Source organism: Homo sapiens, chromosome 19 (assembly GCF_000001405.40).
Source record: "Homo sapiens chromosome 19, GRCh38.p14 Primary Assembly".
Lineage (NCBI taxonomy): Eukaryota > Metazoa > Chordata > Mammalia > Primates > Hominidae > Homo > Homo sapiens.
Window position 1 is genome coordinate 56,284,892 of NC_000019.10, and position 26,965 is coordinate 56,311,856.

Consider the following 26,965-nt stretch of genomic DNA (forward strand, 5'->3'; position numbering starts at 1 on the left):
TCCTGAAGAAGAGTTTGTTACATCTGTTGAACTGGGAGAAATCCATTAATTAGGCATATTTCTTTCTGCTGCATTTGCACATCATGTGTTATGTCTTCTTCCTCAGGTCTCATGAGCAGACTGTCACCGGATGGTAAGTGTCAGGATTGTATCTTTTAAACCTGGTCTTTCTCTTGTCCGCAAGGTAATGTAGACTTATTGAGTCATTTATGCTTTTAGGTAGAGTCTAAAGAACACTTCAGGTATTATCCAAGCACATGTTTTGTTTGAACTTTGATGTAATGAAAATCTTTATTGCTATATAAGGTTACAGCTAGAATTTTGCCTAATAATTATTATGCTGTGGAGTTTTTTAAGTTTTATAAATAGCATATGCACATGGGAAAATATCGAGGAAACATAAAATGAAAGTCAAAATCATTCTCTTCACCACATTCCCGGCTCTGCTCTCTAGAAGCAAGCACCATTTCTAGTCTCACGTGTATTCTCCCCAGAAATAGTCATACACATGTATGTACATCCTTAACTCTTCAAGTTAAAAGTACTATGTGTTTTAGTGATATAACTTTACCTCTTTCAAATACCTGAGAAATGCTTCGTGTGTACTCCCATAATTTAATGAGCCTCTGGTTCATGTACATTTAGTTTTTTTTCTAATATATATGTTTTTAGTTGTTTCCTTTCACCCCATTGACTGGGATTCCTAACATATTTTGATTTGTTTTGTTTGTTTTAATTTTTAAATTATTATTATTATTTTTGTATTTTTAGTAGAGACAGAATTTCACTATGTCGGCCAGGCTGGTCTCGAACTCCTGACCTCGTGATCCGCCCGCCTTGGCCTCCCAAAGTGCTGGGATTACAGGCATGAGCCATCACGCCCAGCCCAGTTTTGTTTTATTTTGTTTTGATGTTATTATAAACAGCGCTATAATGGAAATCCTTATCCAGTCATTGCTTTTTTATTTTTGCAAATTCCTATCTGTTAAGTTCCTAAAAGGGAAATGGCTGGGTCAAAGGGTATCTGCCTTTTAAATCTGGACAGATGTTTAACAAATTTGCATCTTCATATACAGCCTGTGGGGATGCTTGTTTCCCCACACCTTCAGCAGCATGGGATATTATCTAACTTTTTATTTATTTATTTAGAGACGGAGTCTCGCTCTGTTGCCCAGGCTGGAGTGCAGTGGTGAGATCTCAGCTCATTGCAACCTCCGCCTCCCGGGTTCAAGCGATTCTCCTGCCTCAGCCTCCCGAGTAGCTGGGACTACAGGCGCCCACCACCATGCTCGGCTAATTTTTGTATTATTAGTAGAGATGGGGTTTCACCATGTTGGCCAGGCTGGTCTTGAACTCCTGACCTTGTGATCCTCCTGCCTCGGCCTCCCAAAGTGCTGGAATTACAGGTGTGAGCCCCGCACCTGACCCAAACTTTTTATTTTTGATAATGTGGTGGCCAAAAAACACTGCCCCCCATATTTTTTTCACAGACGGACTGAACCCCAACAGGTGTTCTTGCTGCATCTATGCACCGCCAGAACCCCCACACCTCCCATTCTTCAAATGGACGTACAGCTTTCTCCTTAAGTCAATAAACTTGAAAAAGTTGCTTTATACCGCTTGAGTAAGTGGTCAGCCTCATAAGGAGGAGACAACTGTGAAGATAAATATCATGAAAACAAAACGAGATTAAATTATAACTAGACACTGTTTTCTGCCAAGGCTCTTTGTGTGAAGGTTGTTCCCGCTGTTCGGTGGAAATAAACACTAGCAAGTGTTATGAGTTAAAGATGCGTTAGTGCCATTTTGAGAATTTCTCTCTGGTTGAAAGAGAATTGGAGAGAGAAAACCTTTCTCACCATGTGGTACCCAAGGAGTTCAAGCTGAATCTGTGTCCACGTGAGATCTGCTCGGCGTCACTAAGCACTCATCTCTCACTGCTAGAGATGCCCGGCAGAGCGAATGCTAGTGGGGCTTCCCAATACATCCATATCTGGAATTTCCACCTGGCTCCACTATTTACCAGCACACACCACCCAGGACAAGTCTGTTTTCTTCCCGGTAAACCAGGATTCACAGCACGCACTGCACAGTGTGGTTGTGAGATTATGATAAAATGCCAGAAACACTCAGATATTAGGGAGCTGGTGAAAGTGGATTTGACTCCTTCCCACCCCCACCATTCCATGGATTCTGGAGTCTAAAGTCTTCCTTGTGGTTTCTGTTACTCCTGTGATGACAGTTTCCGAGTTTTGTCCATCTTAGGTGGTGAAACCACCATGCACTTTCTCTGTTTTCCCATCAACCTGGAAGTAGAACTCTCCTCCTTGCCCATCGACCTGGAAGTAGAACTCTCCTCCGGGGGTTCCCCCAAGAAATGTGTTGTGGGAAACATTTTACGGAAACCTATGACTGAGTTTTGATGGAGAATGTCAGGAACAGTCAGTCCAGCCTCGAGCACATGGTTCCTCACCTTACCAACTCTGCTCACCTCTCCTTTTCTTCCCTTCCCGCCTCTCCTCCCTCCCACATTGCCTGCGGAGCTACACAGTCTTCTCCTTTTAACAAGCACAATAATTCAGTTCTCCCCCACTCCCATCCCCCCAAGTCCACCTAACCCATAAATATCAGCCCTCTGTGCACCAGGAGCTTCCTCCTTGGAATGCAGCCGGACTTTATAAAAAGCAAAATGTTCTTATTCCACATGTGAAGTGCCTGCCACGAAACCAAGTACCAATCGAATGTAGCCACTGTCAGGTATAATAACGGCAGGGGGTTGAGGCAGATGTGGAGGAAGTCACAGACTCATGGGGCTAGAAATCATCTGAGTCATTAAACAGGTGGGGAAACTGAGGGCTGGAAGGAGGCAGAGCATCAGAGGCAAGGTGGCCACTAACAGTAGATTCATTCAGCACCTTAAATCAGCCAATGAATTTCCAAGTATCCCTTTGCATGGATTCTTTTAATCCTTATAAGCCCTCTAAGAGGTGTAAATGCCACAAAAGCTACAGTGACCAGCTCGTCCCAGGACACTTCCAGTGTTAGCTCTGAAACTCTCGCATCCTGGGAACCCCTTCAGTTCTGGGCAGACCAGGAGCGTGGGTCTCTCATTTATGATTCCACTTTTCTGATGAGGAGACTGAGGCACAAGGAGATGGAGTGAGTTGCTGATGGTCACGAGGCTGGTGTGGCAGAGCCAAGAAGGGAGCACAGGCCCAAATGGGTCCATGGTGTCCGCTGTTCTTAGGATGAAGGCTGAGGCCCTTAAGCTGACCCACAGGGGTCTGCCTCACTGAGCTCCAGATACTCTCCAGCCACGTCTTGTACCATGATCACCTACCATCATGCCCCTGAGGTGGGCTCCTTCAAGCCCCCGGCAGCTGCAGGCTCCATCCAGCCCAGGAAGACGCCCACATCGTTCCCTCTGTCTGCGACACTTTCCTGCCTCCTCTTCCAAATTTCTTCACCCAGCTAACCCCTGCTCATCTTCCAGGTCTCAGACACAACATCACTTCCCTCAAGATGCCTCCCCTGGTGTCCCCGCAAGGTTAGCAACCATCACCCCCTTATAGGTTCCCATGGAACCCAGCAGGTCTACCCAGAATACTCATCCCAACGATACCCCACTTTTGATGCTTTTGCTGTCTGCTTCTCTCTGACTAGTCTGTGAGCTCCCTGAGCAGCTGGGTCTGGCCTGCCTTGCTTTCCACTGCACCCTCCATACCTTGCGTGATGCCCAGCACACAGGAGATGCCTCATAAACATTTGTTAGAAGGCGTGACTGAGTGCTTAAGTCTGTGTCTTCACCCGTAAAATGAGTGAATTGGGTTGCCTCATCTCCAGTAGCATTTCCACCTCTGCTCTCCTCTGACTGGTCAGGGATGCTTAGTCAGTGGTGTCTGAGACCCGTGTCTTAATGTTGATTTCTCTCTCTACTCTGCCCCTCCGTTGCAACCTGGGCTGCCTACATTCTAGCCTCCAGATAGGACAGAAGAAGAAAGTAAGTACTGTGACAGTTTTTGTCTCTGAAATTAGATTCTCATAACCACCGCTGGGCCTTCAAACTCCTTTAAGAAAATGCCAGGGAAGGGTTGGTCCAGGCCCCAGTGTTTAGCCATTCGCCTGGCATCAGGAGCATCATCAGTACAGATTCTGCCAAAGAATCTAAGCTATGCTGTGCTGGTAAATGTCTAACAACCACCTCTGCAAGGGGAGAGTGGGAAAGGGAGCCCTGGTTTGTAGCGACTACCACTTCCCATGGTGTAAATACTCTGACCATGCCTGATTTCAGGATGCTAAGGGTCTGAGAGCTGCATTGGACAATTCCTAAATTTTAGTAATTGTCTCTTGTAAGCTAGCTTCAGCACCTCACTAAGTGTAAGCTATGTCTTTTTTTATTTGGTGTAGAAATTGCTCCAATGCGAGGGAGCTTACCCCATTCATTCCTCCAAAGGAAAAGTGATAGTCTGGAGGAGAGAAAGGGGCCAGGCCCTTTACAGAGGGGAGGGGAAATTTCAAGGAAGAAAGATGGTGGAGCAGTCTCTTCGGAAGACAGACGTATTTATACTCTAGTTCGGGTAAGACGGAGAGAGACCCCTCTTCCCATGAGTACTGATCCTCGAGGCCAAAGACTTGTCCATCTTTTAGTACATGTCCTAGAAAACTGTATGGCACATAGTTGGACCACACAAATGTTTCTCTTGTGTGTGGTGGTCTGTTTGTTTGTTTTTGGGTTTTTTTGAGATGGGTTCTCACTTTGTTGCCCAGGTTGGAGTGCAGTAGTGCAATCATAGCTTACTGCAACTTAGACCCCCCAGGCTCAAGCAATCCTCCTGCCTCAGCCTCCTGAGTAGCTGAGACTACAGGTGCACACCACCATACCCAGCTAATATTTTACATTTTTGTAGAGACAGGGTCTCACCATGTTGCTCAGGCTGATCTTGAACTCTTGGGCTCAAGCAATCTTCCCATCTCAGCCTGCCAAAGTGCTGGGATTACAGGCAGGAGCCACCACTTCTGACCCTCACAAATGTTTCTTGTACCTCTAATTCATGTTATTTTTGCTCATTAGAAGGAGTTGAAGAAAACGAATACTGGAGAACCTGCCTCTATTATATAACTGAATTCTCCCAAGAGCACTGGTCAAATGGAACCCAAGTTATAAAGAGTGGTTTCCCCAAACTGGCTAATTATCTGAAACTTTTTCAAAAAGACAGATTTCTTTGTTCTACCTGGACCTTCTGCATGAGAATACCAAGGGGTGGGTCCCAGGAATCTGTCCTTTCAAAAGGTTTCTCAGGTGCTTCTGATGGTTTGGCTCAGATGGTTTGAGAACTACTGAGATAAAGTAGGACTCAGCAGAAAGGCCCACTGCTTGTTTTTATAAATAAAGTTTTACTGACACACAATCACACCCATTCATTTAGGTATTATTTGTAGTTGTCTTTGTGCTCTAATGGCAGAGCTGCATAGTTGTGACTGGGGCCATGTGGCCTGCAAAGCCTACACTATTTACTGTCTGACCCTTTAGAGGTCAGACATTTATTGACCTCTGAGCTAGAGCAGTGCTTCTCAGGGTCTTTGTTTAAAATTAGGGCCTAGGACCCTACTTCATATCTAAAGAAGGAGGATGTCTGTGATGGAACTCTAAGCTCTTGAGTTTGCTTCCCAAATGGTGATTCTTTGGGTTGGACACGGTGGCTCATGCCTATAATCCCAGCACTTTGGGAGGCTGTGGTGGGAGGAAGGCTTGAGCCCAGGAGTTTAAGATCAGCCTGGGCAACATAGGAAGACCCCCTTCTCTATGAAATATAAATACATAAACAGTTTAAAATAGTTTTACGATATTGAATGGAGGAATAATTGAATGTCCTATACTGCTGATTCTATTCTCTTGCTCACTCTTCTCCACACTGACTCCCCGAATGCTGGTTCTGCTACTTCCTCCAGTAAAAAGTAAGTTATTTTTCCTTTCCTATGGGTCACTTGGAAGTTTTCAGGTGCTGGGAAGAAGAGGCAACTATCCAAAGAAGGGAATCTTTGGATAGTTCTTCTCAATGTAGAACACAAGTTGAGAGGGACCCTCCATCTGCTGCTCCCCTCTCTGAAGGGGTTTCAGGGTGGGCTGCAAGCCCCAGATTGTGTGGAGAGCCGTGAGGGTGTGTCTGGGATACGGTGGGTCTGGGGCTACATGCAGGACTGAGTATGTGAGCCCTTGGCATATCACGTCCCCGAGCTCACAGGACCGTTGCCCCAGAAGACAAGAAAGCATTGAGTTGTACATATTTGTTGGGAGGGCCATTGAGAAGAGAACCAAAGAGGGGCACCTTGCTCCTTCCTCAAGCTCCCTCCTGACCCTCGGGGGAGAAATGAGAGAGAACCCTGGAGACTCAAAGGGATGCTCTAGTATCTTCCTAATCTCTGGAAGATGAATCCCCACGGAAACTGAATACCTGGGGCTTCTGTCCACCTGGATTAATGCGTCTCTAAAGGAGTAAAGTCTCAAAGAAGCATCTCGAGTCACCCACCCTGGGCCCCAGCCTATCGCATTAATCTGGAAGACACTTTATTTCTCTTTTTTGGGAAGATCTGTTTTGAGAACCACAGGGTGGGAGGAGCTAGGAAGAAGGCGTTATTAATTTCTTCCTTTTCCTCTCCTCTCCTTCCTTCCTTCCTCCACTGCTGCCCAACAATGCCCACTGGATCTTCTGCTCCTGGCATCTCATCTCAACAGCACTGAAACCTAAGAGTCTTGTTTCACATTTGACCCCTTCTGTTTTGCTCCTGTTCTCATCTCTGCCAAGGGAGGTCCACTCTTAGCCATGGATCAACTCTCAGCTTTTGACCATCTTTTTTTTTTAAACTCAAGAACTGGGAAAAAATAGCTATATTACCATCATCTTCAAATAGATGGGATGTCTCATGGAAACCAATCCCTCCTCGAATCAGGCATTCATGTAATGCCATGATGAGGATGGTGATGACAGTGATGGAAATTTACAAAGAGCTTTCTAGGTGCCAGGCGCGAGGCACCAGAGCAGCACTTTTCAATGTGTTATGTGTAGTTATTCCCCACAACTTCTTCACAAGGCAAGTATTATTCATCTGCACTTGACTGAGGTATAAAGGTTAGGTAACTAGATCAAGACTGGGCATCCCAGTGGTGACGGTGGGTTACGGATCCTGGGCTGCGTGACTCAGCTGCTTAACCACGGTGCTGTGCTTCCTCCCACTGCTGTGTGGCTCAGACTTATTTTCCCCAAGAACATCTCTGACCATTTCATCATGCTGTTCCCTGAAAAAGTCACTGTTTGCCACATGTGGGTAACATACATCTTTTAAAAAGTCTTGAAATTGTAGTAAAATATACAAAACATGAAATTTACCATTGTAACTTGTTTTCATTTTTTAGAGACAGGATCTTGCTCTGTTGTCCAGGCTGGAGCACAGTGGTGCAGACCTCCTGGGCTCAAGCGATCCTTCTTTCTTAGCCTCCTGAGGAACTGGGACTACAGGTGTGCATCATCACACCTAGCTAATTATTTTTGGTTTTTTTGTCTGTTTTTACTTTTTTTTTTTTTACTTTTTTGTTTTGCTTTGTTGCCAAGGCTGGTCTTCAATTCCGGGGCTCAAGCAATCCTCCTACCTCAGCCTCCCAAAGCACTGGGATCACAGGCACGAGCCACTGCACCCACCTTAACCACTTTAAAGTGTGCGATTTAGTGGCCCTTGGTACACACACAATGGTGTGCAACCATCACCACTGACTCCAGAACTTTATAATCACTGCCCCACCAAAAAAAAAGTACCCATTAAACAGTCAGTCCCCATTCTCCCTCTGACCTCAGCCCCGGCAACCACCATTTCACTTTCTGTCTCTGCAAGTTTGAGGATTCTAGGTACCTCATAGAAGTAGAATCGTACACGATGTGGTCTTTTGTGTCTGGCTTCATCACTCAGCACAGTGTCCTCAAGGTTCAGCCACATTGTGGCCTGTGACAGTGCTTCACTCCTTTTCATGGCTGAGCAATACTCCATTGCATGGATAGACTGCATTTTTTAATCCAATCATCCACTGATTGAATTTTGGGTTGATTCTACCTTTCGGCTGAGGACACACTCTTCTTTTGGTCCACATTCAAAGCCATCTAAACCCCAGTTCTGAGACACCATCCTGTCCATGCCCCACACCCACCTCCAAACCCCACTTCTATGCAGCTTGAGCCTCAGTGAAACCCAAGACATCCTGATCTGAAAAAACAAATTGAAAAATGGTATCCTGCAGCTCAAGAGCACGTTCTGGGTACCAGGCATGGTTGTTAAGTGCTTGACTCATGACAGTCCCCAAGTCATCGTCCTTGTTTTACAACTGAAAACACTGTGGTAAGAGAGGGAGAGTCGCTTGCTCATGGTCACACAGCCAGTCAGGTGCAGAGAATAACTTAAGCCCAGTCTGGATCCCAAACGGTGCTATTAAACAATGCAAACTCAAAAGTGTTCAAAGCGGCTCAGACTAACGAGGTCCCTGCCTCATCCCTACACTGGAAGTATTATCATTATAATTGTATGTTGTATATATTGTAAGGAAGATAAAATTATGCTAAGAAAGGGAAAGAGGAACTGGCAGAGAGTGTGCACTGTGGGCGCCGGTCCTGACTGCACCACTTTCTAGTTCCGTGGGCTTCGGACCCTCGCCTCCTGAAGGGCTCAGGCCCCTGGTCGGTACAATGCACATAATAGTTCCAGCCTCATATGGTTGTGAGGAGTAAACAGGATCATGCACTTGGCAGGATGATTCCCAATTGGGGAGATTTCGCCCCTCAGGGGACACCTGGCAATGCCTAGAGATATTTTTGGTTGTGAGGACTCAGGGAGGTGGTAGGGGAGGCTAACGGCATCTAATGGGGGGAGTCTCGAGATGTTGCTACACATCCTACAATGCACAGGACACCCCACCCCCACAACAAAAAAACTATCCAGCCCCAAATGTCACTCGTCTGGAGGTTGAGAAACCCCCCGCTGAATAAAATGTCTGGCACGGGATAAGAGCTCAGCAAGGGTCTGTGAGGACCACCTCATTTACCTTTGTTCTGAACACTCCCATGTCTGCAGGAGGCCCCTCTGCCTTGCTCCTTTCGCTCCTTTTCCCAGGCCCTTCTCCAGCCTCCGTCCTCATGCTGCACTGACAGCACTTTGCAAACTGAAAGCAGACCCAGCAGGAAAATCCCAAACACCTGCCTAAGGGCCCACCAGGTGCCAAGCAGACCCAGCCCTGCTCCAGTAACGAGCAAAAGCCAAACCCAGCAGGAAAATCCCAAACACCTGCCTAAGGGCCCACCAGGTGCCAAGCTCTGTACTGGGCGATTCACGTGGGCTCTTTCTCCCGGACCCTCACATTAACCCAGGATGCAAGTGGTTCGGTGGAGACAGCCTGAGTTTTAAGGCAAAGAGGCCTGGGTGGGAACTCTACTCCCATCATCTATAATGTGGGCGTAACTTACCCAAACTCCCTTAGATTCTATTTTCCTACCTGATTAATGGAGATAATATTTTTTGCTTGTTTGAGAATTCAGTGACATAAGGCAGGGATCAATCAGCATTTTTTTTTCTGTTTTCTGTAAAGCGCTAAATAGTAAACATCTTAGGCTTTCAGGGCCAGGTGGTCTCTGCTGCCACTCACTACTCAATGCTGCCTTTGTGGCCTGAAAGCAGCCACAGACAACACACAGTGAATGGGCATGGCTGTGTGCCAATAAAACTTTATTTACAAAAGCAGTAGACAACACATTGTGAATGGGCATGGCTCTGTTCCAATAAAACTTCATCTACAAAAGCAAGTGTCAGGATGTCCACCCACCGATGAATGGGTAAATAAAATGTGTCTATTCATACAATGGAATGTTATTCAGCCACAAAGAAAGTGCTGACACAGGACACAACATAAACGCGCCTTGAAAACACAGTGCTCAGTCAAAGAAGCCAGACACAAAAGCACATAGGGTATGACTCTGTCTCTACGACATGTCCACAGCAGGCAAGTCCACAGATAGGGAAAGCAGCTTAGTGGTTGCCTAGGACCGCGGGAGAGGGGGGTGAGCCCAGAGAGATGGGGAGTGACTGCTCAGGGGCACCAGGTTTGGAGGCAATGGCCAACGGGTACACGGTTTCTTTTTCAGGTGATGAAAACGTTCTAAAATTGTTTGTGGTGATGGATGCACAGCTTTGTGAATGTCCTAAAAACTACTGTCTTGTACACTTGATGGGTGAGTCATAAGTTATGTGAATTATATTAATATACCAGTCAAGTTGTTATTAAAAAACAAAGTTCAGAAAACAACAACGGGTGGTGGGATGGAATGTGCCACCCCTGGATGAGTATGTAGGTGCCTACATTAGAGTGACACAAAATACATGGAAAAAAGGCCTGGCATGGTAGCTCACACCTGTAATCCCAGCACTTTGGGAGGCTGATGCGGGCGGATCACCTCAGGTCAGGAGTTCTAGACCAGCCTGGCCAACGTGGTGAAACCTCCGTTTCTACTAAAAATACAAAAATTAGCCGGGTGTGGTTGCGGGTGCCTGTGCTCCCAGCTACTCAGGAGGCTGAGGCAGGAGAATCGCTTGAACCCGGGAGGCAGAAGTTGCAGTGAGCCGAGATCGTCCCACTGCACCCCAGTCTGGGCAACAGAGCAAGACTCCGTCTAAAAAACAAAAAACAAAACAAAACAAAAACAAACAGAAGAGATGGGAATGGCGTGGCGGCTTCCTTCCCAGCCTAACCTTGCTGCGGTGCAAATCCTGCAAGTCACTGCACGTCCCTCCAACCCACACGAAGCAGCCTCTGACTGTTCTGCGCTGTTCACTGTGGCATGTCCTGACTACTCAGCACGACCCACCCAGGGCTCCGCTCTCCTGTGCTCCCATCGCTCTGTCTTCTGATGTTGTGATTTTTCCCTACATGTGGCCTCCTCTTCCACGGCTCCTGGGAACTCCATACTCTGGGCCTGTCTGCTCCCCTGACCTGTCTTGCTTCCTGGACCCCATCTCCTTCTGGATGGACATCATCAGAGATCCTAGGTGACACCTCACTCCATGCCTGCCCCGGGACTCTGTAGGAAGCTGGTTTGGGAGGAATGCTTTTTAGGGCTGGGCAGGGTGGTGGAAAGCTGAAAGATGGATCTGACAAGCTCACACCCTCACGTCAACTCACAGTCTAGTGGAGGTGGGGAGATGGAAAAGTAACAGGCAGTTAAACTACAACAGGAATCTGTGTGGCACAGGGGGGAGGTGGCAGTGGGGACAGTGTGCAAGAGGACGATGCGGGCAATCCAGCAGGGCTTCTCGGAGGAGGAGTGGCTTGGGGCGAGCCTGCTGGACCTGCTGGTCTGGAAGTGTTTATCATGCTGTCCCTTCTGACTCGCGTTGTATGCCCCTGTCCTCCTTAGGCTTGCTGAGCCTCCAAGTACTGCATGGTAAGTCTGGTGACTGCTATTTCGTGTTCACTCCTGTGCACAGAAATATACAGGTACTGGTTTTTTCTATGGTGGGGGGTCCCTTAAATATCATCAGACCCTACACTCTTTATCCGTATCATCATCTGCATCATAAATGTTTAACATGTTTTTATTTGTCCAACAGATATTAACTGATGTTAGCTCTCCTGTACCAAATGTTATTCTAGGTGTTAGAGATGCAGCAGAGGATAAAACAGACAGAAGTCTGTGACCAAGTGAAACTTGTATTCCAATCAGAGGAGAAAAAACAAAGAGCAGTAGTTATAGGTCTGCTGAAGGCTATTATGTCCTATGGAGACAATAGAGTAATGGGGATGGAAACGCAGTGCGGGAAACTTAAGTTTTTTGGCTGGGCATGGTGGCTCATGCCTGTAATCCCAGCACTTTGGGAGGCCGACGTGGGTGGATCACCTGAGGTCAGAAGTTCGAGACCAGCCTGGCCAACATGGTGAAACTCCGTCTCTACTAAAATACAAACAATTATTTTGAAACAAATTTTGTAAACATAGAAAAAATTAGCTGGGCATGGTGGTGTGCACCTGTAATCCTAGCTACTCGGGAGGTTGAGGCAGGAAAATCACTTGAACCTGGGAAGCAGTGGTTGCAGTGAGCCGAGATCATGCCATTGCACTCCAGCCTGGGTGACAAGAGCAAAACTCTGTCTCAAAAAAAAAAAGTTTTTAAAGGGCGATCAGGGAACATGACATGTGAGCAAAGGCTTGAAGAAGAAGGGCAGGTGAGCCAGAGATAACTGGGGGAAAGGCATTCCAGGAAGAGAGAACAGTATATGCAAAGGCCCTGAGGCAGCTGAGTCCCTGGGATCCAGGGACACAGGGAGACTAACTTTATTCTCTTCTCTCCTCATTCGAGGCACCTGGAAGCACTATTTAGAGTTTGGTCTCCACCCACTTCATAATTCACCTGATGGTTTCTTTTCTTTTCCTTTCTTTTCTCCTCCTCTTCCTCTTCCTCCCTCCCTCTCTCCCTCCCTTTCTTCCTTTCCTCTTCCTCTTCCTCCCTCCCTCTCTCCCTCCCTTTCTTCCTTTCCTCTTCCTCCTTCTCTTCCTGCTTCTTTTTCTCCTCCATCTCTTCATTTTTAGAAGAAACAAGTGGCTGCAAGGAGGAAGGTAAGTGCTTGGGGTCGTACCATTCCTCATCTATAAGACAGTGTGTCCCTTCTGTCTGGGCTATGATAAAGCCTTAGAAGAGAAGATTTCAGGTAATCAAGGCCCTGCAGGGGCTTTGGTACCTGAGAGGCTGCCTTCCTGAAGGGCATCCAAAGTCTGCAAGCCACTGCCCCTTTCACACTGCTCATGGGCATCGAGGAGACCCAACATACTGAGATGTGAGTGGGAGACATTTCTATCCCAGCTGCTGCTTCTGTGGACTGTGAGTCCTCTCTTCCCGACATGGAAATTACCAAGCTAAGTCCTGGGTGATAGGACTGAGGGCCGGAAAACCAGAAAATAGCAGCAAGCCACCAAGTGATCCAGATGGTGGAGATGAGCGTTTTAAAGTAGGCAGAGCCGGGCATGGTGGCAGCACCTGTGGTCCCAGCTACCCGGGAGGCTGAGGCAGGAGGATTATTTGAGCTGGGGAGGTGGAGGCTGCAGTGAGCCGTGATTGTGCCACCGCATCCGGCCTGGGTAACTGAGCAAGTCTCAAAAAAAAAAAAAAAAGCCAGAACAACACTAATGGTTGGTTCTTTTGAAAAGCGTAATACAAATTTAATCCTCTAGCATTACTGACAAGAAAAAATAGAGGAGAAACAAACTGCCAATATTTGGAAGGAAGAAGAGAGTATCATAGCAGATCTTGCAGGTAACAAAATAACAATAAGGTGATCATTGGAGAAACTTTATGCCAATAAAATTGAAAGTTTAGATAAAACGGACAAAATCCCAAAAAAACACAAATTACCAAAAACAAATGAAATGATATAAAAAATCTGGGCTGGGCGCGGTGGCTCACATCTGTAATCCCAGCATTCTGGGAGGCCGAGGCAGGCGGATCACAAGGTCAGGAGATTGAGACCATCCCACCCAACATGATGAAACCCCGTCTGGTGAAACCCCGTCTCTACTAAAAATACAAAAAAATTAGCCAGGCGTGGTGGCGGGTGCCTGTAGTCCCAGCTACTCGGGAGGCTGAGGCAGGAGAATCACTTGAACCTGGGAGGCGGAAGCTGCAGTGAGCTGAGATCGTGCCACTGTACTCCAGACTGGCAACAGAGCAAGACTCCATCTCAAAAAAAAAAAAAAAATCTGAATAATCCTCTATCTATTAAAGAAATGCCACCTGTAATTAAATAGCCTTACCACACACAAAAAAGTCTTTCAGGATCAAGTTAGCTTTAATAGTGAATTAAAAGGAAGAAATCACATTGATCTTACAGGAAATCTTCCAGAAAATTAAAAACAGTCATTTCCCAACTCGGTTTTAGGACAGAATAACCTTGATAAAAGATCTGACAAATACGACAAAGGAAAATTTCAGGCCAATCTTCCTCATAAATATAGATGGAAAATCCTAGACTAAATATTAGCAAGTGCAATTTGGCAATACATGTTAAACAATCATGACTAAATTCACTTTATTCCAGCAATGCGACAATGGTTTAATAGGTAAAAACAAATATATGGTATTCCCACCTTATTAACATAAAAGAAAACAAGCACATTATCATTTCAGTAGATACAGAAAAAGAATATGGTAAGATTTTACAGCTTACATTATTTTTTTTTTGAGACACGGTCTAGCTTTGTTGCCCAGGCTGGAGTGCAGTGGTATGATCACGGCTCACCACAGCCCTAAACTCCTAGGCTCAAGTGATCCTCCCCTCTACAGCCTCTGAGTAGCTGGGACCACAGGCACGAGACACCACACCCAGCTAATTTATTAAATTTTTTGTAGAGTTTGGGTCTCCCTATGTTGCCCAGGCTGGTCTCAAATTCCTGGGCCCAAGTGAGCCTCCCGCCTCAGATTCCCAAAGTGCTGGAATTACAGACATAAGCCACCATGCCCAGCCTTGTTCATGATTAAAAAAAAAAAAAATCTCAGCTAGCTAGGAGTAGAGAGAACAGCTTAATATAATAAGGAATAGCCACCAAAAACTTACAAAGAACAAGCTGTTTAAGGTAAAACACAGTTGTCCCTCAGTATCCTCAGGGGTTGGGTCCAGGACCTCCCCGCAGATAGCAAAATTCCTTGATGTTCAAGTCCGTGATATAAATAGCATAATGCTTGCATTTAACCTATGAACAGCCTCCTGCACACTTTAAATCATCTCTAGATTACTTATAATACAATGTAAATGCTCCTTAGTTATTGTACTGTTATATTTTTGTATTGTTTTTATTGTTGTATTGCTATTTTTATTGGGATTTTAAAAAGTATTTTTGACCAGTTTTTGGCTGGGTCCTCAGATGCAGAGTCCAGCGACACAGAGGGCTGAGGGTGTAGAACATGTTCCCTCTGAGATCACAGATGAGACGTTCTTGCTATCACCACTTGCATTTCACATTGGACTGAACGTTCTATCCAGTGCAAATCCTAGCCAGGCAAGAGAAAGGTAATAATAGGCAAAAGGATTGTGAAGAAAGAAAGATGAGCCTCATTTTTTATAGATGTGATTGTGTACCTTTGATTGGGAGGGTATATCTGAGAGGCTTGGGATATGCTGGTGTTGGTGAAATATAATTAAAAACAAAATATCCTCCAAACCCAGAGCTCTTCTCCACCCAGGTAGAAGAGAAAGAAAATAGTTTTATTAATGGGTAAGCATTAAACCAGAACATGATATGCGAAGAGACTGCAAAGACAGAAAAAAAAAATTTCACCCTTTTATATAGCCAAGCAGATACAACTTATTACATACCTGCTCTCAAGATAAACAACAGCTAGTCCTCAAGTTAAAGAACTTGACAGCTCTATTTGCTGTACATGGTTCACCGTAAATTCACTTGGTTATTGGGATAGCCAACTGTGTTTGTTAATTGGCTTAATCCAAGGGAAAAATAAACTTCTAGTATCTTTATCACAGGAGGTAGATTTGCTACTTGGGGTGAGGTGCCCACCAAAGTTAGGCTCCATCCCCTCCCAACAAGAAGCTGGGGAAGATGTTTCGAGGTCCTTGAAAACACCCTCCTGGGTCATAATGCTGGCCGCAGGCTTACTTAGCTTTGAAAAAGATTAGTGTAAACGTTGAAGAGAGAGAGACTTGCAATGGCAAAATTTTCTAAAGTAAATGCTCTAAGCAAAGGGGACAAGGAGTAATCGCTTCCTGAATTTTCAACAGGGAGAATTCATTTTTTTTCGTTTTCGATTTGCATTTGCCTGTACACTGGTAATGTTTTATTTTTTGATTGGAAACCTGTTTAGACAGACAGGTTTACGTGTAAAAAAAAAATGAGATTTTCTGAATGTAATACTTTTAAAATAAAAAGACAAGGGAAAAATGTTACACAGGCGAAAGAAACACTCTTGCACCTCATGAGGTTTGACATAAGAAAGCGACACGGTCGGATCTGGTGCTAGAAAGATCCTGCTGGCACTCATGTGGGAGATGGATGAGAAAGAGAAAGGATGGCGTAGTGGGCAGAGGCAGCCATCAAGAGCAGAGCCTGAAGCCTGGGGATGGGGGAGAGGTGGTGGTTTTGTTACCAGAAAGGGGTCCCGATCAAGACCCCCAGAGAGGGTTCTTGAATCTCGTGCAAGAAAGAATTTGAGGCAAGTCCATAAAGTGAAAGCAAGTTTATTAAGAAAGTAAAGGAATAAAAGACTGGCTACTCCATAGGCAGAGCAGCAGCAAGGACTGCTGGACTGAGTCTCCTTATAGTTATTTCCTGAATATATGATAAACAAGGGGTGGATTATTTATGAGTTTTCCAGGGAAGGAGTGGAGATTTCCTGGAGCTGAGGGTGCCTCCCCTTTTTAGGCCAGTAGGGGAACTTCCTGAAGTTGCCATGCCATCTGTGAACTGTCATGGTACTGGTGGGCGTGTCTCTTAGCCTGCTAATGCATTATAATTAGTATATAATGAGCAGTGAGGACCACCAGAGGTCACTTGAATCGCTATCTTGGTTTCGGTGGGTTTTGGCAGCTTCTTTACCGCAACCTGTTTTATCAGCAGGGTCTTTGCGACTTGTATCTTGTGCCAACCTCCTATTGTCATCCTGTGACTAAGAATGCCTTAACCTACTGGGAATGTAGCCCAGTAGGGCTCAGCCTCATTTTACCCAGCCCCTATTCAAGACGGAGTCACTCTGGTTCAAACCCCTCTGACAGTTTGGTGAGAAATCTGGGCAAGACAGGGTCAGATTTGGTGATGTCTTGGATGTGAGGTGGGAGAGCCAAAAGGCATTCCTGACTGTTTGTCTGGAGTATGGTGGTAACCAAGAAGGGGGAAGCTGGCAGTGATGGTGGGTGTGGACCAAAATTTCAATTCAGGAGGCAGGCAGAGATGTGAGTTTGGAGATCAGAATGGAGAGACAGCAGTGACAGGAAGCTCTAAGGCAGGAAGGGAAGGCCATCAGCATCAATCATCTCCACGGTTCTCTCCAGTTAAACCCTTCTCAGGCACCACCCCATCCAGGAAACCACTCCCCAAGAGGAAGAACACGTGGAACTTCCTGAAATGCGCCTACATGGTGATGACCTACCTCTTCGTATCCTACAACAAAGGGGACTGGGTAAGAAGAAGGCAGCACGGAGGGGAGGAGTGTGAGGAGAGGAAGGAAAGAGGAGGGAAGTGGGGGCACAGAGGAAGCGAAGGAGGGTGCCTCAGAGGTGCCAAGCAGGAAGTGGTGGGAGAGCCCTTCTGTAAAACACTCTCTTCTTCCCACTCTCCCACCCGCCTCCATCTCTCATTTCATTCTTCCTTCCTCTCTCCTTCTTCCCTCTTTTCTCCCTCCCTCCCTCCCCTTCCTCCTTCCCTTTCCTCTTCCTTTTTTCTTCCCTCCCTTACTTCCTCCTTCTCTCTCCTCCCTCCCTATTCTTTCCTCCTCCCTTCATCCCTCCCTTTCTCCCTTCCTTCCTTTCTTCCTCTCTCCGTCTGCTTCCTCCCTCCCTTCTTCCTTCCCATCCTTCTTCCCTCTCTGCCCTTCTTTCCTTCCTCCCTCCCTCCCTCTTCTTCCTCCCCGTTCCTCCCTCCCTCCCCCCTTCCTTTTCTTCCTCCCCCTTTTCTTCCTCTCCCTCTTCTTCCTCTCCCTCTTCCTCCCTCCCTCCTCCTCCCTTCCTTTTCTTCCCCCCCTCCCTGTTCTTTCCTTCCTCCTTCCCTCCTTCTCTCTCCTTCCTTCTCTTTCCTTCTTCCCTCCCTCCCACCTCTAGACTGGGATAAAACTTCTCCCTTCTGCACTAACACAGCCCCAGGGGCTCCTTTGAAATACTGTCACTCATTCTGCCTCTCTCTCTGCCGCTGTCTCTTGTTCTTTCTAAGGGACGTTCATAAGGACCAAGCCTGTTGCTGGTTGCTGGGGACTCTGATGGTTGAGCTACCTTCAAGAAGGTCCTAATTCTGTAAGGGAGGCAGACATCCACAGAGAGAACCAGATCACCGAGTGGTAGCACTTCATGAGCAGGTGCTAGTGCAGGAGGCAGTGGCGCTTATCTCAGCCTAGGGGAAGTGTGGGCTCATGGAAGCCTTTCTGCAGGAGGTGACACCTCTGCTGTGGGTTAAGGACAGAATGGAATTAGCCAATTGAGGAGGGGAAGCAGGGGAAGCATTCCAGAGAAACACCATGTGCGAGACTCAGAGAGGTGAAAATAAGGCAGGGTGCAAGAAACTACAAGCCAGGCCGGGCACGGTGGCTCACGCTTGTCATCGCAGCACTGTGGGAGGCTGAGGCGGCTGGATCACGAGGTCAGGAGTTCAAGACCAGCCTGGTCAACATGGTGAAACCCCGTCTCTACTAAAAATACAAAAAATAGCCGGGCATGGTGGCGCATGCCTGTAATCCCAGCTGCTCGGGAGGCTGAGGCAGGAGAATCACTTGAACCTGGGAAGCAGAGGTTGCAGTGAGCCAAGATCACACCAGCCTGGGTGACAGAGTGAGACTCTGTCTCAAAAAATTAAAGTAAATAGAAAAAAAAAGAAGGAAAGGAAGGAAAGGAGGGAGGGAGGGAGGGAGGCAAGACGGAAGGGAAGGAGGGATGGAAGGAAGGACAAGTCATCCTTCATTCATTGATTCAGTCAGTCTTCAAATATTCACGTGTGTAGAGGACCCATCCTAGATGCTGGGGACTCAGAGAAGAACGGAACCCATAAGGTCCTTGAGTCCCCAGGGCTCCCATGTTTGGGATAGCAGGAGGACTGCAGAGAAACAAGCAGCCAGCTCCAAAAAACATGAACTAAATCAGGGTGATATCACAGAGTGAGCAGCCATGGCCACGGGCAGCCTTCCCCGGGCAGGTAACGTCTGGACATAAGAGATGAGACAGTGGAAGGATCTTGCCTTCAGAGCAGCTTGGGGGCAACCACTGCAAGCAAAGCAGGCATGCACAGCAGACCCTGAGGCAGGAACACACTGAGTACCTTCGAGGAACCAAAGGAACATCTATGTGACCTGAGAGGGGCAGGGGGGTCCAGGTCATGTAAGGTTCTCATAGACCACGAGAAGGAAGCTTGTGTTCTAAGCTAGTGGACAGCCGCCAGCAAGATCCCTTCTGAGTTATCAAAGGATCCTTCTCAATGCTGCCTGTGGAGAGTGGATCGGAATCAGGGCGAGAGTGGGAGCAGACAGACTGAGAGGAGGAGACACACTGAGAGGAGGCCCGACCAGCCAGCGCAGGGGACCTGGCGGTGCTCATGGAGATGAGAGCCGTGCAGCAGTTCTAAAGGAACTGCTTATGCGCTGGGTGTGAGGAATAAGGAAAATGGAGAGACCAGGGAGATGAGCCTGAGACAGTGACTTCAGTTATGCTAGTGGTTCTGAAACGGGGGTGACGTTGCCACCCAGGAGACACTCAGCAGTGTCTGGACCACAGGATTGGTTGTGACAGCTGGAGGAGGGAGCTCGACTGGCATCCAGTGGGCAGAGGCCAGGGAGGCCACTCAACCTGCCATACGGCCCAGGACAACACGCCACGACAAAAATAACCCAGGTCAAAACGTCAGGAACCTGAGGCTGAGAAACCCCAGCTTAGGGGATTGTGCTGCTTATGGGGATGAGGAGAACTGGCTGGAAGATGGGGAAGAAGGTGGGAGTGGTGAGAGGCGGGCTGAATAGAGAAGCAAGACCAGAAGATGTTACAACCAGAGGGAAAGAGCAGAGGGGGAGGACGGGAAAGAAGCGAGAGGGGGATGGGGAGAAAGGGAGGTAAGGAAGGAATTCACTCGCCTCACCCCAACTGTTTCTTTCTCTGTTCCCAGTTCACTTTTTCCTCCCAAGTGTTACTGCCACTACTGTAACTTGGAACTGGACATCAGGTATGCTATGGCAGGGAAGTGGGCTTTTCCCACCGCTGGGGTGGGGTTAGGGGAGGTTCATCCCAACTGCCTGGCATTTGAGGTAAGGAACACAGGTGGATTTGGAAGCTGCAATCATAGAAACCCAGAATTCCATGAGAAGTCCCAAGTTCGTCACCCTTACTTGCAAGCCACTGCCTGACAGGGGCAAGGAAACACATTGTAAATGACAGGGATGTGCCGGGCAGGAGGAACTCCTTTATAAATTCACTCTATAATTTTTTCACAAGTCTTAGGACTTGTGGCCCAACACACACGACATAAAATTAACCATTAGTGACATTCAGTACACTCAAAATATTGTGTGGCCATCACCACTAATCTGTTTCCAGAATCTTCTCATCATCCTAAAAGGGAACTCTGTACCAAGACATCGTCTCTTCCCCCTGTTCCTGGCAACCACTAGTCTACTCTCTGTCTCTGAGAACTCACCTACTCTGGTCATTTCATACACATGGAATCATACACTACGTGGCCCTTTGCATCTGGGTTTATTCATTTGGCATAATATTTCCAAGGTTCATCATGGTATACCTTGTATCAGGACTGTATTCGTTTCTGCTGGATAACACTCCACGGCATGGACATAGCACACTTTGTTTATCCATCATCAGGTAAAGTGCACTGGGTTGCTCCCACCTTTTGACTGTTGTGAGTCGTGGTGCTATGAACAAGTTATGTTAGAATATCTGTTTTAAAATCTTTTGGGGTACAAACTAGGAGTGGAATTGCTAGGTCATATGATAATTCTGTGTTTATAACGACCCACTGATGCATCCTGGATGCAGTAGTGAACGGGGCAGACAAGATTCCTGAGCTCACAAGAAAACAATTAGATGATTACAGGTGATACTTAGAGCTAGAGGAAAAGCTGAGGATATGATGAAAAAGAGAACTAAAGAACCTTGCCCTGGATAGTTGGGTGATGAAGGAAAGCCTCTTTAGGAAAGTGACAATGAATCAAAGGCCTGTAGAATGAGGGGTTGTCAGATACACAGAAAACAAGTGAAAGAGCCTCCAGGTGAAGGAACTGGCTTGTACGAAGGCCCTGGGGTGGAAAGTGGCCTAGATGTGCCTGGAGTCAGAAAGAAAAATGGGGGCAGGAGAAGGGGGAGGGAGTGGGAGGGCACTATGGGAGGAGTGTGGGTGACATGCTCAGCAGACCACCTCAGACCTGGAAGATTAGAGCAAGCATTTTAGACCCAACCTTCAGAGCCATGGGAAGCCACGGAAAGGCTGTCAGTGAGAAAGAGACACGTCCCAGTGACATGAAGTGTAGAGGCCAGTTAAGAGGCTACTCAGTTTCCACGAGATGACGGTAGCCTGGTCAAGGCTAGGGTCCAGGGTACGGAGAGAAAGTACGAAAGACAGATGGGAGGTTTCTCTTCCCTCGATAGCTGCAAAGAGGGTCCCCCTGGCCTCTCCCGCATCGCCAGAGAAAGTACTAAGGACAGATGGGAGATTTCTCTTCCCTTGATAGCTACAAAGAGGCTCCTCCCTGGCCTCTCCCACGTCGCCAGAGAAAGTACTAAGGACAGATGGGAGACTTCTCTTCCCTCGGTATCTGCAAAGAGGGTCCCCCCCGGCCTCTCCCCTGTTGCCAGAGAAAGTACTAAGGACAGATGGGAGATTTCTCTTCCCTTGATAGCTACAAAGAGGCTCCTCCCTGGCTTCTCCCACGTCGCCAGAGAAAGTACTAAGGACAGATGGGAGATTTCTCTTCCCTTGATAGCTACAAAGAGGCTCCTCCCTGGCCTCTCCCACGTCGCCAGAGAAAGTACTAAGGACAGATGGGAGACTTCTCTTCCCTCGGTATCTGCAAAGAGGGTCCCCCCCGGCCTCTCCCCTGTTGCCAGAGAAAGTACTAAGGACAGATGGGAGATTTCTCTTCCCTTGATAGCTACAAAGAGGCTCCTCCCTGGCTTCTCCCACGTCGCCAGAGAAAGTACTAAGGACAGATGGGAGATTTCTCTTCCCTTGATAGCTACAAAGAGGCTCCTCCCTGGCCTCTCCCACGTCGCCAGAGAAAGTACTAAGGACAGATGGGAGACTTCTCTTCCCTTGATAGCTACAAAGAGGCTCCTCCCTGGCCTCTCCCACGTCGCCAGAGAAAGTACTAAGGACAGATGGGAGACTTCTCTTCCCTCGGTATCTGCAAAGAGGGTCCCCCCCGGCCTCTCCCCTGTTGCCAGAGAAAGTACTAAGGACAGATGGGAGATTTCTCTTCCCTTGATAGCTACAAAGAGGCTCCTCCCTGGCCTCTCCCACGTCGCCAGAGAAAGTACTAAGGACAGATGGGAGATTTCTCTTCCCTTGATAGCTACAAAGAGGCTCCTCCCTGGCCTCTCCCACGTCGCCTGCCTTTCATCCTCTCCCTGGCATCCCCAGTGCCCTTTTTACATTAAAAAATGTCAACTCGATCATACGATATACCCCCACCCCCTGCTGCAGTCCTGCTTAAATCCACCAGTGGAAACTCACCAACTATGATGAGTGTCTTTCAAACTTTAAAAGAAAGAAAATCCAAAACACTTTTCTACTGAAATCTTACATGGAATCCCAATATATAAAAAATTCTAAGTTGCTTTTCATTACCAGAGGTACTTTTCCTAAGGTTAACTGTGTGACATTTACTTATTATGAAGTGAGGTGATGAGATTTGCAAGCACAGGGTACAGAAGGCCTCTGCTGTCTTACGTTACTCTCTTTTACCCCGTATCTTGCAGTGTTTCCTTTTAATTGTTCATACGGAGAAAAATCTGAGCCCACAGAGATAAGTCACTGCAAATGCCTAATAGTTTGCCTTGTGAAGTGTACATGCCCTTCAGGTAATACAATTTTTTCCCCAAGGTCTGTATGTAAAACATGCAACAGGTTGGTGTGGCTCTCCAGTGAATAAAAATTTCAGTCCATGTGCTATATTTTGGGTACACACCTATTTTAAAAAATAGTTTAATTTTTGAAATGAAAATCAAAGCAAACCTTTGTGGAATTCCTAAAAGATCCCAAGTTTTCAGGGAACCTGGCAGGAAGCCTCTGCCCCATTGATCAAGTTCAGGTCTCTGGCATGGTACCCAAGGGTTCTCAGGCTCCAAGCTCCTCCTGCTTCTCTAAACTTTTCTCCACTTCTCTTGATCCCCCCACCCACATTCCATCCCCTGTCCATATTAAACCTTTTTTTTTGAGACAGGGTCTCGCTCTGTCGCCAGGCTGGAGCGCAGTGGCGCAATCTTGGCTCACTGCAACCTCCGCCTCCCGGGTTCAAGCAATTCTCCTGCCTCAGCCTCCCAAGTAGCTGGGACTACAGGCGAGTGCCACCACGCCCAGCTAAGTTTTGTACTTTTAGTAGAGACGGGGTTTCACCATGTTGGCCAGGATGGTCTCGATCTCTTGACCTTGTGATCCGCCCGCCTCGGCCTCCCAAAGTGCTGGGATTACAGGCGTGAGCGGTGGCTCCCAGTCTTTTTTTTTTGAGATGGAGGCTCACTCTGTCACCCAGGCTGGAGAACAGTGGCCCAATCTCAGCTCACTGCAACCTCTGCCTCCCAGGTTCAAACGATTCTCCTGCCTCAGACTCCCAAGTAGCTGGGATTACAGGCATGCACCACCACACCTGGCTAATTTTTGTATTTTTAGTAGAGATGAAGTTTCACCATGTTGTCCAGGCTGGTCTCGAACTCCTGACCTCAGGTGACCCACCCACCTCGGCCTCCCAAAGTGCTGGGATTACAGGCATGAGCCACCACGCCCCCCCATATTAAATCATTTCTGATTCCCCCCAAAACATCACATTTTTTTTCCCGCTCCATTATGCCATTGCACACATTGATTCCTTGATCTCTGTCTACCTAGAAAAGTCCTCCTCAGTCCTCAAGATTCACCTAAGCAATGCTTTGGTTCAGGAACCAACAGCAATCCTTCAGATTCCACTGGGGAGGATGCTGAAGGAAATGAATGGTGTTGAACGGTTTCTCAGGCTCTCTTCAACCATACATTAAAGCACCGGTCAAACCAGATAGTTATTTTCATATAAAGGTGTGCTTTCAACCCATTAGGCAAGAGGTTGGCAAACTTTCTCTGTGAAGGGCCAAATATTACGTGTTGGCTTTTCAGGTCATATGGTCTGTTGCAACTACTCTAGTCAAAGCAATCGTAGAGAATACACTGATGGCTGTGACTGTACCCAACAACTGATGAAAGGATAAACAAAACGTAGTGCATTCATACAATGGATTATTATTCAGCCCCCAAAAGAGGAATGGGGTCCTGGCACGTGCAACAACACGGCTGAACCTTGAAAACACTGTGCTGAGTGAAAGAAGCAGACACAAAAGATCACACAGTAGATGATGCCATGTATATGAAACAGACAGATCTGGCAAATTCAAAGAGACAGAAGGCCAATTACTAGTTGTCAGGGGCTGAGGGGAGGAAGGAACAAGGGGAGTGACTGCTTTTAATGGATTTCTTTTTTGGGTTGATGAAAATGTTCCACTCTTAGAAGTGACAATTGCACAACATGGCGAATGTAATGAAGGCCACTAAATTGTGCCCTTTCAAAATGGTTAAAATGGTGAATTTTATGTTATGCATTATGTTTGCATTTTACCTCAATTACAAAAAGAAACTTTATTAAAAGGGATGCAGGCTGCAGTTGGCCCTGCGGAACACAGTTTGAGGGCCCCTGCTCACATAGACTGTGAGCCCCTGTGGGAGCAGGAAGTACCCCTGATCCATCCCTGGAACTCCAGCACCCAGAAGCAAACCTTAAGGTTCTCTTCCTGCAACTCTGAGTGACTCCAGCACACCAGGCTAGGGGGTGCAGCCCAGCCAGGCCTGGGCAGTCCCTGCTCCTGCGGGGCGCGCCCTCTAGTGGGAGGTAGGGGTGCAACACAAGCTCAGGCCCGGCGCCGGGACAGTGAGGAACTGGAGGGGGCGCTGCTTCCCACTGGCTGGTTTCTAGAAGAGCCCTGCTCTGAGGAGGAGACACTTGCCCTGGTGATGGGGCAGAGCTAGGGTCCATAAGATCTGAGGGAAGCGTGTTCCAGCTGCTGGAACAGCCCGGTGGGAATAGGGACAAACTTGGTGGAACCTAGTGAGTGGGGAGAATGGGCTAAGCTGGAGGGAGGAGGTGGGCTTGAGGCAGGTCACAAAGAGCCCTGTAGAGGTGGATGGAGAGGGCACCAGGCAAGGAGTATGAGAATGCATGAAGACGAAAATCAATGCACAAATACATTTCTCTCTCCTTTCTTAGGGATGATCCCTGCTGTTCTTTCTAGTGAGCCTGCTCCATCTCAGCTTAGCCTTCACAAGGCCTCCATCTCCCAGGCATTCTAACCTCTGAAGAAAGCTCTCTGTCCCCTGGACTGCCTGTGTGGAGGGTAATGAACTGGGTCCTTTAAGGAATGGCACCTGGGTGCCCAGAGGCATGGCCAGAAGGTGTCTGTGGGGGCCATGCCTTAGGGGGATGCACCCAGGGCGGCTGAGAGAGCAACTGCAGGAGTTTCCCCTAAAATCTCTCCTCCAGATCGTTCTCGAACTTTCCCCACTACTTCCATAATAAAATGTATACTTGTTGAAATGGCTGAAAAGGCTGGGTTATTCCATTCGCCCAACACTGAAAACTAACAGGTATGCTGGTGGATTACCAAGAATCAAACGCTATCAGTTAACTGTGCACTTTACAGGTGAAGACACTACAGCTCAGAGAGACCGATGGCTCGTCCAACATCACACTAAGCTACACAGCTGAGATTTGACCCAGTTGGACTCATTCCAAAGTCCGTATTCTTTTGTGTAAAGATTTGGGGCTGCCCCCACCGTCCTGAGGAAATACAGTTGTGAGGATATGGCTGTTCCAGGAGGAAGCCGTATCCAGCTCTCCAGCCTGCATGTTTCTTGCCTATTCTGGAGGAGGTTCCTTGTCCTGGTTGAAAGCTTTGGCTCTGGAGACAGGTTTCTTGGGTTCGAATCCCAGCTCCACCCCTTAATAGATATGCAGGCTTGGGGAAGGTATTGTCTCTTAATGCCTTATTTTATCATCTGTAAAATGGGGATAGTAACAGTAGGGTAGAAGTTCTCTTATCATCATGATCAGAACCATCACTGGTTGGTTCATCAAATAAGTTGGTTCCAATAGGTAATTAAAAATACTTTTACCATTTTGTTTTAAAACATAAAATTGTACAGGCATTTGCTAATCTTTTGATATAAGACCAGGGGGTTTCGTTGTTGTTGTTGTATAGGTCTATGGACCTACAATTTCCAGTTTGTCCCTTAAAAGGGCAGCGGAGACACAGGCATGCTTGCAAAGCTATTTAAGCAAAATCCTCACTGCATTAAAAAAAAGAAAAAGATCATCCCTATAGCCATCTTGCTCATTCCAACTTGACATATTTTTTGTTGTTGCTCTTATTAACAATCGGCCTTTATCACATCTTTCCCACTGAATTACTGTTTTGGGTGGAAACAATTCTTTGCTGATGCACTCATATTTTCCTCATTTATGTTAAATGTAATTGCATTACATAATTGAAATAAAATCCATTAGAATGAAAAGGTTTAGAATAAATGCAACTCAACTAGCTCTGGGTAGTCACACAACTGAACCAATAGAGAAGAATGAAGGCATATTAGAAAGCACTGCACTAGCCAGGGGCATTCAGTGAGCCTGAAGCATCAGTTGGTATATTTCATAGACGGATGGAAAATTCTTTTACCCCAGGGATCATTTTAAAGTGGAGTTTAAGAAACAGTCTACTGAGTTTGCCTCATAGAGGTAAAGTTTAAATGAGATAATATATATATATTTTTAAGTTCCACGATACATGTGCAGGCTGTGCAGTTTTGTTACACAGGTAAATGTGTGCCATGGTAGTTTGCTGCCCCTATCAATCCATCACCTAGGTATTCAGCCCAGCAGGCATTAGCTATTTTTCCAATGCTCTCCCTCCCCACAATCCCATACCCCGACAGGCCCCAGTGCGT

The 26,965-nt window shown here is 47.0% G+C and overlaps 3 protein-coding genes across 23 annotated transcripts in view; 2 read left to right on the forward strand and 1 right to left on the reverse strand.

The window, feature by feature from the left end:
• Nucleotides 1–25,563, forward strand: part of LOC124900420 (uncharacterized) — a 37,707-nt gene extending 12,144 nt beyond the window's left edge. The window contains exons 2-5 of the mRNA XM_047439799.1: nucleotides 107–133; nucleotides 3,976–4,000; nucleotides 5,950–5,955; nucleotides 6,734–25,563. Coding sequence (XP_047295755.1) covers nucleotides 21,350–22,468 — 1,119 coding nt within the window. The 5' untranslated portion in view covers nucleotides 107–133; nucleotides 3,976–4,000; nucleotides 5,950–5,955; nucleotides 6,734–21,349 and the 3' untranslated portion in view covers nucleotides 22,469–25,563. The remainder of the gene's footprint in view (nucleotides 1–106; nucleotides 134–3,975; nucleotides 4,001–5,949; nucleotides 5,956–6,733) is intronic.
• The window catches only part of EDDM13 (epididymal protein 13), a 37,707-nt gene extending 12,144 nt beyond the window's left edge, over nucleotides 1–25,563 (forward strand). Inside the window, exons 6-15 of the mRNA NM_001354658.2 lie at nucleotides 107–133; nucleotides 3,494–3,547; nucleotides 3,983–4,000; nucleotides 5,950–5,955; nucleotides 11,068–11,076; nucleotides 11,445–11,471; nucleotides 12,614–12,640; nucleotides 17,077–17,204; nucleotides 19,902–19,939; nucleotides 25,233–25,563. Coding sequence (NP_001341587.1) covers nucleotides 107–133; nucleotides 3,494–3,547; nucleotides 3,983–4,000; nucleotides 5,950–5,955; nucleotides 11,068–11,076; nucleotides 11,445–11,471; nucleotides 12,614–12,640; nucleotides 17,077–17,204; nucleotides 19,902–19,939; nucleotides 25,233–25,257 — 359 coding nt within the window. The 3' untranslated portion in view covers nucleotides 25,258–25,563. The remainder of the gene's footprint in view (nucleotides 1–106; nucleotides 134–3,493; nucleotides 3,548–3,982; nucleotides 4,001–5,949; nucleotides 5,956–11,067; nucleotides 11,077–11,444; nucleotides 11,472–12,613; nucleotides 12,641–17,076; nucleotides 17,205–19,901; nucleotides 19,940–25,232) is intronic.
• The window catches only part of ZSCAN5A (zinc finger and SCAN domain containing 5A), a 146,976-nt gene that overhangs the window by 63,589 nt on the left and 56,422 nt on the right, over nucleotides 1–26,965 (reverse strand). The gene's annotated exons all lie outside the window — the stretch shown is intronic.